This window comes from Homo sapiens, chromosome 4 (genome assembly GCF_000001405.40).
Source record: "Homo sapiens chromosome 4, GRCh38.p14 Primary Assembly".
Classification (NCBI taxonomy): domain Eukaryota; kingdom Metazoa; phylum Chordata; class Mammalia; order Primates; family Hominidae; genus Homo; species Homo sapiens.
In genome coordinates, this window is record NC_000004.12 from 78,265,416 (window position 1) to 78,279,730 (window position 14,315).

At 41.8% G+C, this 14,315-nt stretch overlaps 1 protein-coding gene across 2 annotated transcripts in view; it reads left to right on the forward strand.

Moving 5' to 3' along the window:
• FRAS1 (Fraser extracellular matrix complex subunit 1) overlaps nt 1-14,315 on the forward strand; it is a 486,947-nt gene that overhangs the window by 208,093 nt on the left and 264,539 nt on the right. For both annotated transcript variants that reach the window (NM_025074.7, NM_001166133.2), the window contains exons 8-10: nt 1,419-1,520; nt 1,826-2,017; nt 13,240-13,329. In NM_025074.7, coding sequence (NP_079350.5) covers nt 1,419-1,520; nt 1,826-2,017; nt 13,240-13,329 — 384 coding nt within the window. The remainder of the gene's footprint in view (nt 1-1,418; nt 1,521-1,825; nt 2,018-13,239; nt 13,330-14,315) is intronic.

Genomic DNA, 14,315 nt, shown 5'->3' on the forward strand with positions numbered 1-14,315 from the left:
TTAGCTTTGAGGCTCTGTGGATGTTTTTCTGCTTTGGTTGGATTTTATGCATTGACATCTGGAGACCGTCCCCTCACACCCCTGCCATCTTACACTGGGGAAAACCTGGCGGTGGTAGAAGACAGAGGGAAGGGAGGCGAGAGGCTGTTGGTGGTAGAACCTGCAAACTCAAAAGTACTATTGGATAGCCTGGATAACGATGTGCCTAACATGTAGTAAGCATCAAATAAAGATGAGTTTAACAAATTGAATGAATGGATGAATGAATGAGTGAATGTTCTGTCTTGGGAGTGCCTAGCTGGTCCAGAAAAAGGTTACATTACTCAAAAGCAAAGAACACATAAAAAAATAAACTCAATTACTTCCCTTACTCGCCAGCCACTCTAAAAAAGACTAAATAGAAATTGGGGTCATGACTCTCAGTAGAAAATCTGAAACTAAGTATTAGGGGATAGGTGCCTCACAAATTCTAGGCAGGTCACTTGAAATCTGAATGAAAATAACTAATTGGGAAGGATTTTTATATGTGCTAGATCTGTGCTGCCTGACACAGTGGCCACATATGTGGCTTGCATTATATTTTTATTGGACAGGATTGTTAGACTGAGTTTTTCTTTGAAGAGACAGGCTTTATATCTGTAATGGCATCTTCAACTACAAGGAACAGAAATCCCACTCTAAAAGTGCCTAAAATGCTAACATTAATTATGTCATCTAGAGGTGGGATGGGGCAGCTGCAGGGTTTCTCAATTCAGGTCTCAATGATGCCTTCAAGGATCTAAGCTCTTTTGATCTTTCCACCTGCCACCCTTAACATGTTGGCATTTGCCCTTCATCTTGTCCCCTCCCATCCCCAAGGAGACCTCCTCAGCCCTGGGCAGCTCATCCTCACACAGCTATTACTAAAGGTTGGTAGAAGAGAGGGGTGGGATTTTGTTTCATGTGGGAGGAGAATTTTTACTTTGACCTCCACCACTCTAGCAAATTTCCCGTGAGGTCCCCTCCGGTTGGACAGTGTCCATGCCCTAGCTGCAAGGGAAGCTGGCAAAGTGAGTATATGGCAGTGAGGGCTGGGTCTCCTGGCAAAGGCAAGAGCTAAAGAATGCCATGGATGAGCCAGTCAACAAGGTCTTTCTACCCATCTCAATGTCTCGGGTCTCTATGTGCCTGGCACAGAGTGGGCCCTCAACACACCTGTAGAATGAATATAGGTGAATGAAAATTAAAGTCTCCTTTGGACATTTATTGACTGTTTTCATAGAGGCTATTCCTATCTAAATGTTTTCATTTCTCAAGAGTACATTCAATGTGGCTCATCTTACAAATGTAATGAAAATTGGGTGTCTTATGTGACAGTGCTTCTATTTGATGTATGGGACATTTGATTTTCCATGTTCTTCTTTCCTGTCTTCATGCAGCATGGTGAGCAGTGGAGCGAAAATGCCTGCACCACGTGTATATGTGACCGGGGTGAGGTCAGGTGTCACAAGCAGGCCTGCCTGCCCCTGAGATGCGGAAAGGTATTTGAGAGTGTGTACCTTACTTGTTTAAGCTCTTTTCTGGGTCATTTAAGGAATGCACTTCTTATTCCGGTGTGTCCTTTGGGGGAATCAAAAGTTTTATAATGTTTGCAAAGTTACATAAAGATATGAAGGCTCTGCTTCCTAGGAAGAAGGGTTGAGGTGCAAGGGACCCTGCCCATCGTGGGTCGGGCCAGAGAAAGAGCCATGTAGAGCTTTGGTATTTTGGGTCCTCCTGCCTCTGTTGGCTTGGGTGTTTCACCGTCTCCTGAGGACTGCCCCTCACCTTCCTCTCTGTGTCCTAGGGTCAGAGCAGGGCTCGGCGTCATGGGCAATGCTGTGAGGAATGTGTGTCTCCTGCCGGGAGCTGCTCCTATGATGGAGTTGTGCGGTACCAGGACGAAATGTGGAAGGGCTCGGCCTGTGAGTTCTGCATGTGTGATCATGGCCAAGTGACCTGCCAGACTGGAGAGTGTGCCAAAGTGGAGTGTGCCCGGGTAAGAAGCAGGGGCATTTCCATTTGGAACGTTGCAGCTCTTTCCAACGGGATAGTGAGGGGTCCTGCCTGTTCTTTACTTCTTGGCAGCAGCAGGGATGTCCACATTGACTTCTCACACTTCATAGGACCTTCTAGTGTAAAGCTTCCGTGGTATAAAATGAATGTCACTGTTTGTTCAGACTAGCTCAGAACAGCCCCCTGGATCTTTTAGCTCTCAGTACATCTGGTCAAATTGGAAGCCCCGAGCCAGAGACATGAAAGGGAAGGACATGATATGGGACATTAGCCTATCAGGCAGCGCAGCTGGATCTCATTGCTGATGGCCTGCCCAGTTCTCCCCGGCTGTGAAACAGGGTCCACAGGTGTGCTGGTGGCCGGGCTCTTGCTGTAGGCCCCACTGACAGCATTTAGCAGAACGAGAGCCAGCACAGAGGGGCCGCTTCCGTGGATCAGGAAAAAACATAACATGCTTTTTGTTTTTAAGAGAGAGCAAAGGGGACCTTATAAACAATTAACTCCATTGACCTCTGTTAACCTCTGCTGTCTGCAGAATTTCTAGAAGCTTCTAACAAAGCAGCCTCTGTTTGGACTATAGATGTACTGTATGTTGGAGGGAAATGACTTTTTTTTTCCTCTTTGAACTTGATTTTGACCCATTACAAAACAAATTGCTTTTAAAGTTGTCTCCGTCTCTCTCACTGCTCCCTTCCGCCCCACCAATTTCCCTGTGGGCCGTGAACTTGAGTAGATGAGGGAAATTAGAAAGATCTGGAGCCCTGGGTTTCTGTGAAGGTATTTTTCTTTCTAGTTCTTCTCCCCCACTTCTCAGCTCCTCTTAACCCTGAGCCTAAGGAGGAACAACCTTTCAGACATGGCTGTCATCGGCAGGGTTATTTTTCAACTTGCCTCCTACTTGTAGGTCTTGACAGAGTTGAGACATATTTAGGTAAAGAGGGTCTTGCTTTTTGCAGATTTATTTCCCCTTAGATGCCTTTTCATTTATTTTCTTTATGTTAGAGGAATCAGGGTGATTGGATGAAGATGAGAAGAAAACCTAATCAGGGCCCTTTTTTGTTGTCTCTGTCGGGCTGAGGCTGGGCTTCCCTGCCTCGGCAGTCTGCCCAGAGGATCTCATTTTATTAAGGACTTAATTTATCTAACATCCTAGAATTTATGAAAAAATGTGGGAGAGGAGATTCTGGTAGGGTGGGCCCTTTAACCACCTAATTTCAGTCAGATCTGAACAAAGAGTCTCAGTCACAGAAAATTGTTTAGCACATATCCCTAGCATTTCTGCATTTCCATGTGCCTGTCTGCTGCTGTCGGCTGTGACACCTGGCTATCATGGCATGAGCCAGGCATTCTTGGCTATTCTTAGGGAATATGGGGATTAGCTGCCAAAGTGGAGAGCACTTCAGTATTCAAGTCACCCCATAACACCGTCTCATTCCTTTCTAGTTACTTCCACTCCACTGCCATCTTTTCTTTTATGAATTGAGGAGTTCTGATGCCTCACCTATTTCTCCAGATCTTTAACCAGCTAAATTGTTTTCTTCCATATTACTTCCATGTTTCCCAAGTTTTGTTTAAAGCCCTGGGTTCTAAACTAGAAACTCTACCAGAATTGAAATTTTAACCAACATTGACTCTGATGAAACATATCTCTTAGCCTTCTTTATATGCCATACTTCTGTTGACCTTGTTAAAGCCTGGATGTACTAACTTCCTAACTTCGGCTTAGCTTGTATCCCTGGTGATAAAAAGATGAATAAGGCTCGTTATGACCTTAAGAGTTTCCAGGCTTTTTGGGAAGTCAGATATGTAAGCAAAAATTATAACACAGTGTGGCACCAATGGAAATATGAGTTAAATATATTAGGAGCTCCCGGAGGAAATGACTATGTCTGCCAAGGGGCACAGTGGAAGTGCCCTTTTGATATTTTTATTCAGTTCTACCCCACTTTCTGCCTGCCTCCTTCTCTAAAATATCAAGGTCATTTTGATTTCTGATCTTGGATACCAAGGATGGATTAAGTGTAAGTGCAATGCACATCAGAAAGCCACAGAGAAGTTAATTTTTAAAAGAAGAGGCAAAGGTGTGCAGCTTCATCGTTGTCTTCATTATCACACTGGTTATCAACAGCAATGTTCTGAATAGCATTAAAATCAGCATACAGTTTTTGTTGTTGTTAAAAAAGAAGAAAATGGCCTGGTCTTTGTCTTTGCTATATTCCACCAAATCTCTAAACATTGAAACATAAACAAATCAATGATAGGCTAGCACAATATAATGATTTTCATATTTCTAGATTTAATGATGTCTTTGAACCTTAATTCAGGTGAAGAAGTCAAATTACCTTTTGAAGAAGAGGACCTAGCATTCACATCTGGAGCATAAAATGGAATGGGGAAAATTGAAGCTTGGAGCAAAATGCATAGGAGAGGGTAGGCGCGTGGTAAATGTGAGCTGCCATTCCCTGCTCCAGTGGAGGCAGTTTCCCTCAAAAGAGTGTTTCCTTTTCCAATGAGCAAGTTAGCCCAGTCTTAGTCGTTGGTCTGGTGGCTGTAGGTATGATTAGGTGGGGAAAGGGTAGAGATTCTGTCTGGCCTATGCAACAGAATCCTCTTAAAAAGGAAAGAATTTGTTTGTTTCTGAAAGCAATTTTAGTCAAAAGTCAAATACTAATTGGAGTGAACTCCCCACTGCAGTGAACTGATGTGGTTTGGGGCATTGAGGCTGCTTCTGTAAATAGAAAAGCTATTTGAAACTTCCCACCTCACCAAAACTGAATCCTTGTGCCCCAGGAGCAGCGCTTGCTGTTACTTACAATGATGTTTGAAGGTCAACAGCCTTTCTGTTGCACAGGCCTTACTGTTTCTATACCTTCCCTACCTAATCATACCTACATCCACCAGTCCAAAGACTGAGATTGGACTAACTAACCTGCTCATCAGAAAAAGGAAACACTCTTTTGAGGATATTTGCCTCCAGTGGAGCAGGGCAAGGCAGCTCACATTTATGGAGTGCCTACCCTCTTCTGTGTATTTTGCTATAAGCTTTAATTTCCCTCCCACAATTTTTTCAATACCAGCCACCGCCCCCCGCCACCCCGCCCCCCCGCCACCACCACCACCCCAGCCACTTTCTTTGCCTCATTTAGGTGATAGGGAGTCACTTTTCAGTTTTGTCTGTATGTATTTTAGTGGACACTCAAGAATCTCTCATGTGTTTTGTCTTTTACAGAAGTATGCATAGTCAGTCTTGTTTCAAAACATTGTTTTAAGTGACTTACATTACATGCATATCAACTCTTTTATATGCTTTGAAAGCCAAATTCAGTGTTTCTGGGTTATGCCTTCACTACCAACTGATTTGTCACATTTCTGCAAAATAATTTATATGTAAATGCATCTGCTTTCTATAGTACCCACTGCTGCCTATTGGCCTCTGACTGACATGAAATTTTGATGGACAGTAATCTATATAACTCCAAAATAATTATAATCATTTATGTATTTTTGTGTTTCCTCTAAGCGTTTAGATTTTCTCTCAGTAAAATAACACATATTCATTCTAGAAAATTTTGAAGGCTCAAGAAAAGTAGAAAAGAGACTTAAAAATCCATCTATAATGCTACCAAAGACATCCAGTGCATCCAGAGACAACCAATGCTTCCATAATATTTGTCATTAGTATAGTGTTTTTAAACAAAATATCATTATGATTATTCTGTTTATGCAAATTTATATTATTCATTTTCATTTAACATGGTTTCTACACTTTTAAATATAATACAGGCCCCAAATTAAATATTAAATATTTAGAGAAACATTACCATTCTTTTTTTTTTATCACAAACATTTTCAATTGTTTTCTCCATTAATTTTTTTTATTATACTTTAAGTTCTGGGGTGCATGTGCACAACGTGCAGGTTTGTTACATATGTATACATGTGCCATGTTGGTGTGCTGCACCCATTAACTCGTCATTTAGCATTAGGTATATCTCCTAATGCTATCCCTCCCCCCTACCCCCAACCCACAACAGGGCCTGGTGTGTGATGTTCCCCTTCCTGTGTCCAGGTGTTCTCATTGTTCAATTCCCACCTATGAGTGAGAACATGCAGTGTTTATTTTTTTGTCCTTGTGATGGTTTGCTGAGAATGATGGTTTCCAGCTTCATCCATGTCCCTACAATGGACATGAGCTCATCATTTTTTATGGCTGCATAGTATTCCATGGTGTATATGTGCCACATTTTCTTAATCCAGTCTATCATTGATGGGCATTTGGGTTGGTTCTGAGTCTTTGCTATTGTGAATAGTGCCGCAATAAACATACGTGTGCATGTGTCTTTATAGCAGCATGATTTATAATCCTTTGGGTATACACCCAGTAATGGGATGGCTGGATCAAATGGTATTTCTAGTTCTAGATCCCTGAGGAATTGGCACACTGTCTTCCACAATGGTTGAACTAGTTTACCGTCCCACCAACAGTGTAAAAGTGTTCCTATTTCTCCACATCCTCTCCAGCACCTGTTCTTTCCTGACTTTTTAAAGATTGCCATTCTAACTGGTGTGAGACGGTATCTCACTGTGGTTTTGATTTGCATTTCTCTGATGACCAGTGACGATGAGCATTTTTTCATGTGTCTGTTGGCTGCATAAATGTCTTCTTTTGAGAAATGTCTGTTCATATCCTTCACCCACTTTTTGATGGGGTTGTTTTTTTCTTGTAAATTTGTTTGAGTTCTATGTAGATTCTGGATATTAGCCCTTTGTCAGATGAGTAGATTGCAAAAATTTTCTCTCATTCTGTAGGTTGCCTGTTCACTCTGATGGTAGTTACTTTTGCTGTGCAGAAGCTCTTTAGTTTAATGAGATCCCATTTGTCAATTTTGGCTTTTGTTGCCATTGCTTTTGGTGTTTTAGACATGAAGTCCTTGCCCATGCCTATGTCCTGAATGGTATTGCCTAGGTTTTGTTCTAGGATTTTTATGGTTTTAGGTCTGCCATTTAAGTCTTTAATCCATCTTGAATTAATTTTTGTATAAGGTGTAAGGAAGGGATCCAGTTTCAGCCTTCTACATATGGCTAGCCAGTTTTCCCAGTACCATTTGTTAAATAGGGAATCATTTCCCCGTTTCTTGTTTTTGTCACGTTTGTCAAATATCAGATGGTTGTAGATATGCGGCATTATTTCTGAGGGCTCTGTTCTGTTCCATTGGTCTATATCTCTGTTTTGGTACCAGTACTATGCTGTTTTGGTTACTATAGCCTTGTAGTATAGTTTGAAGTCAGGTAGCGTGATGCCTCCAGCTTTGTTCTTTTGACTTAGGATTGACTTGGCAATGCAGGCTCTTTTTTTGGTTCCATATGAACTTTAAAGTAGTTTTTTCCAATTCTGTGAAGAAAGTCATTGGTAGCTTGATGGGGCTGGCATTGAATCTATAAATTACCTTGGGCAGTATGGCCATTTTCATGATGTTGATTCTTCCTATCCATGAGCATGGAATGTTCTTCCATTTGTTTGTGTCCTCTTTTATTTCATCGATCAGTGGTTTGTAGTTCTCCTTGAAGAGGTCCTTCATATCCCTTGTAAGTTGGATTCCTAGGTATTTTATTCTCTTTGAAGCAATTGTGAATGGGAGTTCATGCATGATTTGGCTCTCTGTTTATCTGTTATTGGTGTATAAGAATGCTTGTGATTTTTGCATATCGATTTTGTATCCTGAGACTTTGCTGAATTTGCTTATGAGCTTAAGGAGATTTTGGGCTGAGACGATGGGGTTTTCTAAATATACAACCATGTCCTCTGCAAATAGGGACAATTTGACTTCCTCTTTTCCTAATTGAACACCCTTTATTTCTTTCTCCTGCATGATTGCCCTGGTCAGAACTTCCAACACTATGTTGAATAGGAGTGGTGAGAGAGGGCATCCCTGTCTTGTGCCAGTTTTCAAAGGGAATGCTTCCAGTTTTTGCCCATTCAGTATGATATTGGCTGTGGGTTTCTCGTAAATAGCTCTTAATATTCTCAGATACATACCATCAATACCTAATTTATTGAGAATTTTTAGCATGAAGGGCTGTTGAATTTTGTCAAAGGCGTTTTCTGCATCTATTGAGATAATCATGTGGTTTTTGTTTTTGGTTCTGTTTATATGCTGGATTACGTTTATTGTTTTGCATATGTTGAACCAACCTTGCATCCCAGGGATGAAGCCCACTTGATCATGGTGGATAAGCTTTTTGATGTGCTGCTGGATTTGGTTTGCCAGTATTTTATTGAGGATTTTTTCATTGATGTTCCTCATGGATATTGGTCTAAAATTCTCTTTTTTTGTAGTGTCTCTGCCAGGCTTTGGTATCAGAATGATGCTGGCCTCATAAAATGAGTTAGGGAGGATTCCCTCTTTTTCTATTGAATGGAATAGTTTCAGAAGGAATGGTACCAGCTCCTCCTTGTACCTCTGGTAGAATTCGGCTGTGAATCCATCTGGTCCTGGACTTTTTTTGGTTGGTAGGCTATTAATTATTGCCTCCATTTCAGAACCCGTTATTGTTCAATTCAGGGATTCAACTTCTTCCTAGTTTAGTCTTGGGAGGGTGTATGTGTCCAGGAATTTATCCATTTCCTTTAGATTTTCTAGTTTATTTGCATAGAGGTGTTTATAGTATTCTCTGATGGTAGTTTGTATTTCTGTGGGATAGGTGTTGATATCCCCTTTATCATTTTTTATTGCGTCTATCTGATTCTTCTCTCTTTTCTTCTGTATTAGTCTTGCTATCAGTCTATCAATTTTGTTGATCTTTTCAAAAAACTAGCTCCTGGATTCATTGATTTTTTGAAGGGTTTTTTGTGTCTCTATCTCCTTCAGTTCTGCTGTGATCTTAGTTATTTCTTGCCTTCTGCTAGCTTTTGAATGTGTTTGCTCTTGCTTCTCTAGTTCCTTTCATTGTGATGTTAGAGTGTCAATTTTAGATCTTTCCTGCTTTCTCTTGTGGGCATTTAGTGCTATAAATTTCCCTCTACACACTGCTTTACATGTGTCCCAGAGATTCTGGTATGTTGTGTCTTTGTTCTCGTTGGTTTCGAAGAACATCTTTATTTCTGCCTTCATTTTGTTATGTACCCTGTAGTCATTCAGGAGCAGGTTGTTCATTTTCCATGTAGTTGAGCAGTTTGGAGTGAGTTTCTTAATCCTGAGTTCTAGTTTGATTGCACTGTGGTCTGAGAGACAGTTTGTTATCATTTCTGTTCTTTTTCATTGCTGATGAGTGCTTTACTTCCAACTATGTGGTTAATTTTGGAATAGGTGTGGTGTGGTGCTGAAAAGAATGTATATTCTGTTGATTTGGGGTGGAGAGTTCTGTAGATGTCTATTAGGTCTGCTTGGTGCAGAGCTGAGTTCAATTCCTGGATATTCTTGTTAACTTTCTGTCTCGTTGATCTGTCTAATGTTGACAGTGGGGTGTTAAAGTCTCCCATTATTATTGTGTGGGAGTCTAAGTCTCTTTGTAGGTCTCTAAGGACTTGCTTTATGAATCTGGGTGCTCCTGTATTGGGTTCATATATATTTAGGATAGTTAGCTCTTCTTGTTGAATTGATCCCTTTACCATTATGTAATGGCCTTCTTTGTCTCTTTTTAATCTTTCTTGGTTTAAAGTCTGTTTTATCAGAGACTAGATTGCAACCTCTGCCTTTTTTTGTTTTCCATTTGCTTGGTAGATCTTCCTCCATCCCTTTATTTTGAGACTATGTGTGTCTCTGCACATGAGATGGGTCTCCTGAATACAGCACACTGATTGGTCTTGACTCTTTATCCAGTTTGCCAGTCTGTGTTTTTTAATTGGAGCATTTAGCCCATTTACATTTAAGGTTAATATTGTTATGTGTGAATTTGATCCTGTCATTATGATGTTAGCTGGTTATTTTGCTTGTTAGTTGATGCGGTTTCTTCCTAGCCTTGATGATTTTTACAATTTGGCATGTTTTTGCAGTGGCTGGCACCGGTTGTTCCTTTCCATGTTTAGTGCTTCCTTCAGGAGCTCTTTTAGGGCAGGCCTGGTGGTGACAAAATCTCTCAGCATTTGCTTGTCTCTAAAGGATTTTATTTCTCCTTAACTTACGAAGCTTAGTTTGGCTGGATATGAAATTCTGGGTTGAGAATTCTTTTCTTTAAGAATGTTGAAAATTGGCCCCCACTCTCTTCTGGCTTGTATAGTTTCTGCCAAGAGATCAGCTGTTAGTCTGATGGGCTTCCCTTTGTGGGCAACCTGACCTTTCTCTCTGACCGCCCTTAACATTTTTTCCTTCATTTCAACTTTGGTGAATCTGACAATTATGTGTCTTGGGGTTGCTCTTCTTGAGGAGTATCTTTGTGGCGTTCTCTGTATTTCCTCAATTTGAATGTTGGCCTGCTTTGCTAGATTGGGGAAGTTCTCCTGGATAATATACTGCAGAGTGTTTTCCAAGTTGGTTCCATTCTCCCCGTCACTTTTAGGTACACCAATCAGACATAGATTTGGTCTTTTCACATAGTCCCTTATTTCTTGGAGGCTTTGTTCATTTCTTTTTATTCTTTTTTCTCTAAACTTCCCTTCTCGCTTCATTTCATTCATTTGATCTTCAATCACTGATACTCTTTCTTCCAGTTGATCAAATCAGCTACTGAAGCTTGTGCATTCATCACGTAGTTCTCATGCCATGGTTTTCAGCTCCATCAGGTCATTTAAGGACTTCTCTACACTGGTTGTTCTGGTTAGCCATTTGTCTAATCTTTTTTCAAGGTTTTTATCTTCTTTGCCATGGATTTGAACTCCCTCCTTTAGCTTGGAGAAGTTTGATCATCTGAAGCCTTCTTCTCTCAGCTCGTCAAAGTCATTCTCAATCCACCTTTGTTCCATTGCTGGCGAGGAGCTGTGTTCCTTTGGAGGGGTAGAGGTGCTCTGATTTTTAAAATTTTCAGCTTTACTGCTCTGTTTTTTCCCCATCTTTGTGGTTTTATTTACCTTTGGTCTTTGATGATGGTGACATTCAGATGGGGTTTTGGTGTGGATGTCCTTTGCGTTTATTAGTTTTCCTTCTAACAGTCAGGACCTTCAGCTGCAGGTCTGTTGGAGTTTGCTGGACATCCACTCTAGACCCTGTTTGCCTGGGTATCAGCAGCGGAGGCTGCAGAACAGTGAATATTGCAGAACAGTAAATGTTGCTGCCTGATCATTCCTCTGGAAGCTTTGTCTCAGAGGGGCACCCGGCCGTGTGAGGTGTCAGTCTGCCCCTACTGGAGGGTGCCTCCCAGTTAGGCTACTTGGGGGTCAGGGACCCACTTGAGGAGGCAGTCTGTCCATTCTCAGATCTCAAATTCTGTGCTTGGAGGACCACTTTTCTCTTCAAAGCTGTCAGACAGGGACATTTAACTATGCAGAGGTTTCTGCTGCCTTTTGTTTGGCTATGCCCTGCCCCCAGAGGTGGAGTCTACAGAGGTAGGCAGGCCTCCTTGAGCTGCAGTGGGCTCTACCCAGTTCGAGCTTCCCAGCCTCTTTGTTTACCCACTCAAGCCTCAGCAATGGCATGCACCCCTCCCCCAGCCTCACTGCCACCTTGCAGTTCAATCTCAGACTGCTGTGCTAGCAATGAGTGAGGCTCCGTGAGCATGGGACCCTCCGAGCCAGGCGTGGGATATAATCTCCTGGTGTGCCATTTGCTAAGACCATTGGAAAAGCGCAGTATTAGGGTGGGAGTAACCCAATTTTCCAGGTGCCGTCTGTCACAGCTTCCCTTGGCTAGGAAAGGGAATTCCCTGACCCCTTGCACTTCCCTGGTGAGGCAATGCCTTGCCCTGCTTCGGCTCACACTCAGTGGGCTGCATCCACTGTCCTGCACCCACTGTCCGACAAGCCCCAGTGAGATATACCCAGTACCTCAGTTGGAAATGCAGAAATCACCTGTCTTCTGCATCACTCATGCTGGTAGCTGTAGACTGGACCTGTTCCTATTCTGCCATCTTGGAACCGCCCCCCCCATTCTTTAGAAAGTAGATATGTCTTTTGAAAGTGAAAAGTACTTTAAAGAATACTCTTTAGGCTACAGATATTATATGTTAGTATAGAATACTAACATATAGATCAGATGTTAGTGTATACACATGAAAAACAGCAGATTTTCTGGGAGATGGGACTTCAGTGGAATTACACTTTCTAAATTATAGAATTGCAAATTATTTACATTTTTACAGCAAGCATTTATTATTTTGTAAAAAAATAAAAATTTTAAAATTATTGATATTGGGAAATGAAAATGATAAGACTTGGAAAGTTAAATATCTACCCTGCAAACGTGGCAGGGTAGATAAATTAAAAGTATTCCACTTATAATTTTTTTTTTTTTGAGACGGAGTCTCACTGTCACCCAGGCTGGAGTGCAGTGGCGTGATCTCGGCTCACTGCAAGCTCCGCCTCCCTGGTTCACACCATTCTCCTGCCTCAGCCTCCTGAGTAGCTGGGACTACAGGCACCCTCCACTGCCCCCAGCAAATTTTTTGTATTTTTAGTAGAGACAGGGTTTCACTGTGGTCTCGATCTCCTGACCTCGTGATCCGCCCGCCTCGGCCTCCCAAAGTGCTGGGATTACAGGCGTGATCCACCACGACTGGCCATCCTCTTATTATTTTAAGAATAGTTTTGATATGAGTTGGCTAACAGTAAGAGTTTCAGAATACTGAGTAAAATTTAGTTTTCTACTGCTTAATTTATGCTTAAGACTACATCTGTACATACAGGGATGCATCTGATTTTGTATTCAGGGAAAAGTGGTGGTTTGATTTGAGCACTGTTAATGAAACTAAAGTCACAAATTGTGTGTTTAAGGTAGTGTGATCCTTTTCTGAAACTCATAACTTTCCTAGACTATAACATTAACCTTGGTCTTCCTTCTTATTCATGTGAGCTCCTGGTCATGGGTAGAAAATTATGGAGGGATCAGAGCATAACAGATCATAACAGGAAAGAAAAAGCACATGGAGGAGTGTGCTGTGTGGACTACACTTCCTATTGGAAGACAGGACAGGGGGAGATGAAACAGGCAGAGGGCCAGAGCCAACAGTGTGCCAGCGTTTCTTATTCCAGTCAGGGAACCCAACTGCTTCTCAATTTAGCCCTGCTACCTGGAGATGTTAATTTGATATGTGCCACTGCAACCCTTATTTCTACAGGATGAAGAATTAATTCACTTAGATGGAAAGTGTTGTCCTGAATGCATTTCAAGGAATGGTTATTGTGTTTATGAAGAAACTGGAGAATTTGTGAGTATCAGGCTTATAACCGAAGATGATTTCAAATTAATTCAAAATTAATCTAATGAGGGAACATTACCTTCTTGTTTCTTTTGCCCATTCATTTGTTCAACAAATGTTATTGTGCACCTACTGTACAACAGGCTCTGGGGACACAGAAGGGAATACAACAGGCAGAGTTCCTGCTGTCTTGGTAGGGCATACTTTGTAGTATAGGGACACAGAAAACACACACACACATCTCCCACACATACTACACATCAGGTGCTGAGGAGCACTACATAGAAGAATAAAACAGTGCAAGTGGGCTAGACAGTAGCTGCACAGGATGGTGGGGTGTGGGGGATGTGTTCCTTTACATAAAATGGTGAGGAGGTTTCTCTTACAGAAAACTTTGAGCAGAGCCTGAAGGGAGGGAGCCGCATGAATGTCTAGGAGGAAACATACCAGGAATAGGGATCAGGAAATGCAAAGGCACTGAGACGCAAGTGTGTTTGGCACGTTCAAGAAATTGGAGTCTGGTAGGAACTTAGTGAATGAGGGAGAAAGGCATTGGCCATGAGGTCTAGTAAGTAGCCTGGAGGCCACAGTCTTTTACCCTGAGGCAAATGGGAGCTGCTGGGGAGTTTTGAGCAGAAGAGCGCTGGGCTCTCGCTTAACTCATGACAGGACCACTTTGGCTGCTGCATGGGTGAGTGACAGAAGGAAATGAGACTGGAGGTAGGCAACCTGGTTGGTGGGGTTTTGTAATGGTCCTGGCAAAGGGCAATGGTGGCTTGGTCTAGGCAGGAAGTGGCACATTTGGTAAAAAGTGAACAGGCTCTAGATTTATTCTGCAGGTAGCAGTGACTGGATTTTGTTTGATTAGATGAGGGGCAAAACTCTATTTACTAAGGTTTTATTTTGCCCTGTGTCTGCACTTTTTTATTACCTAAAGGAAATATATTTATCTTAATCTTTTCAAATTTTCCCTATTTATGTAGCCCATATTTTTC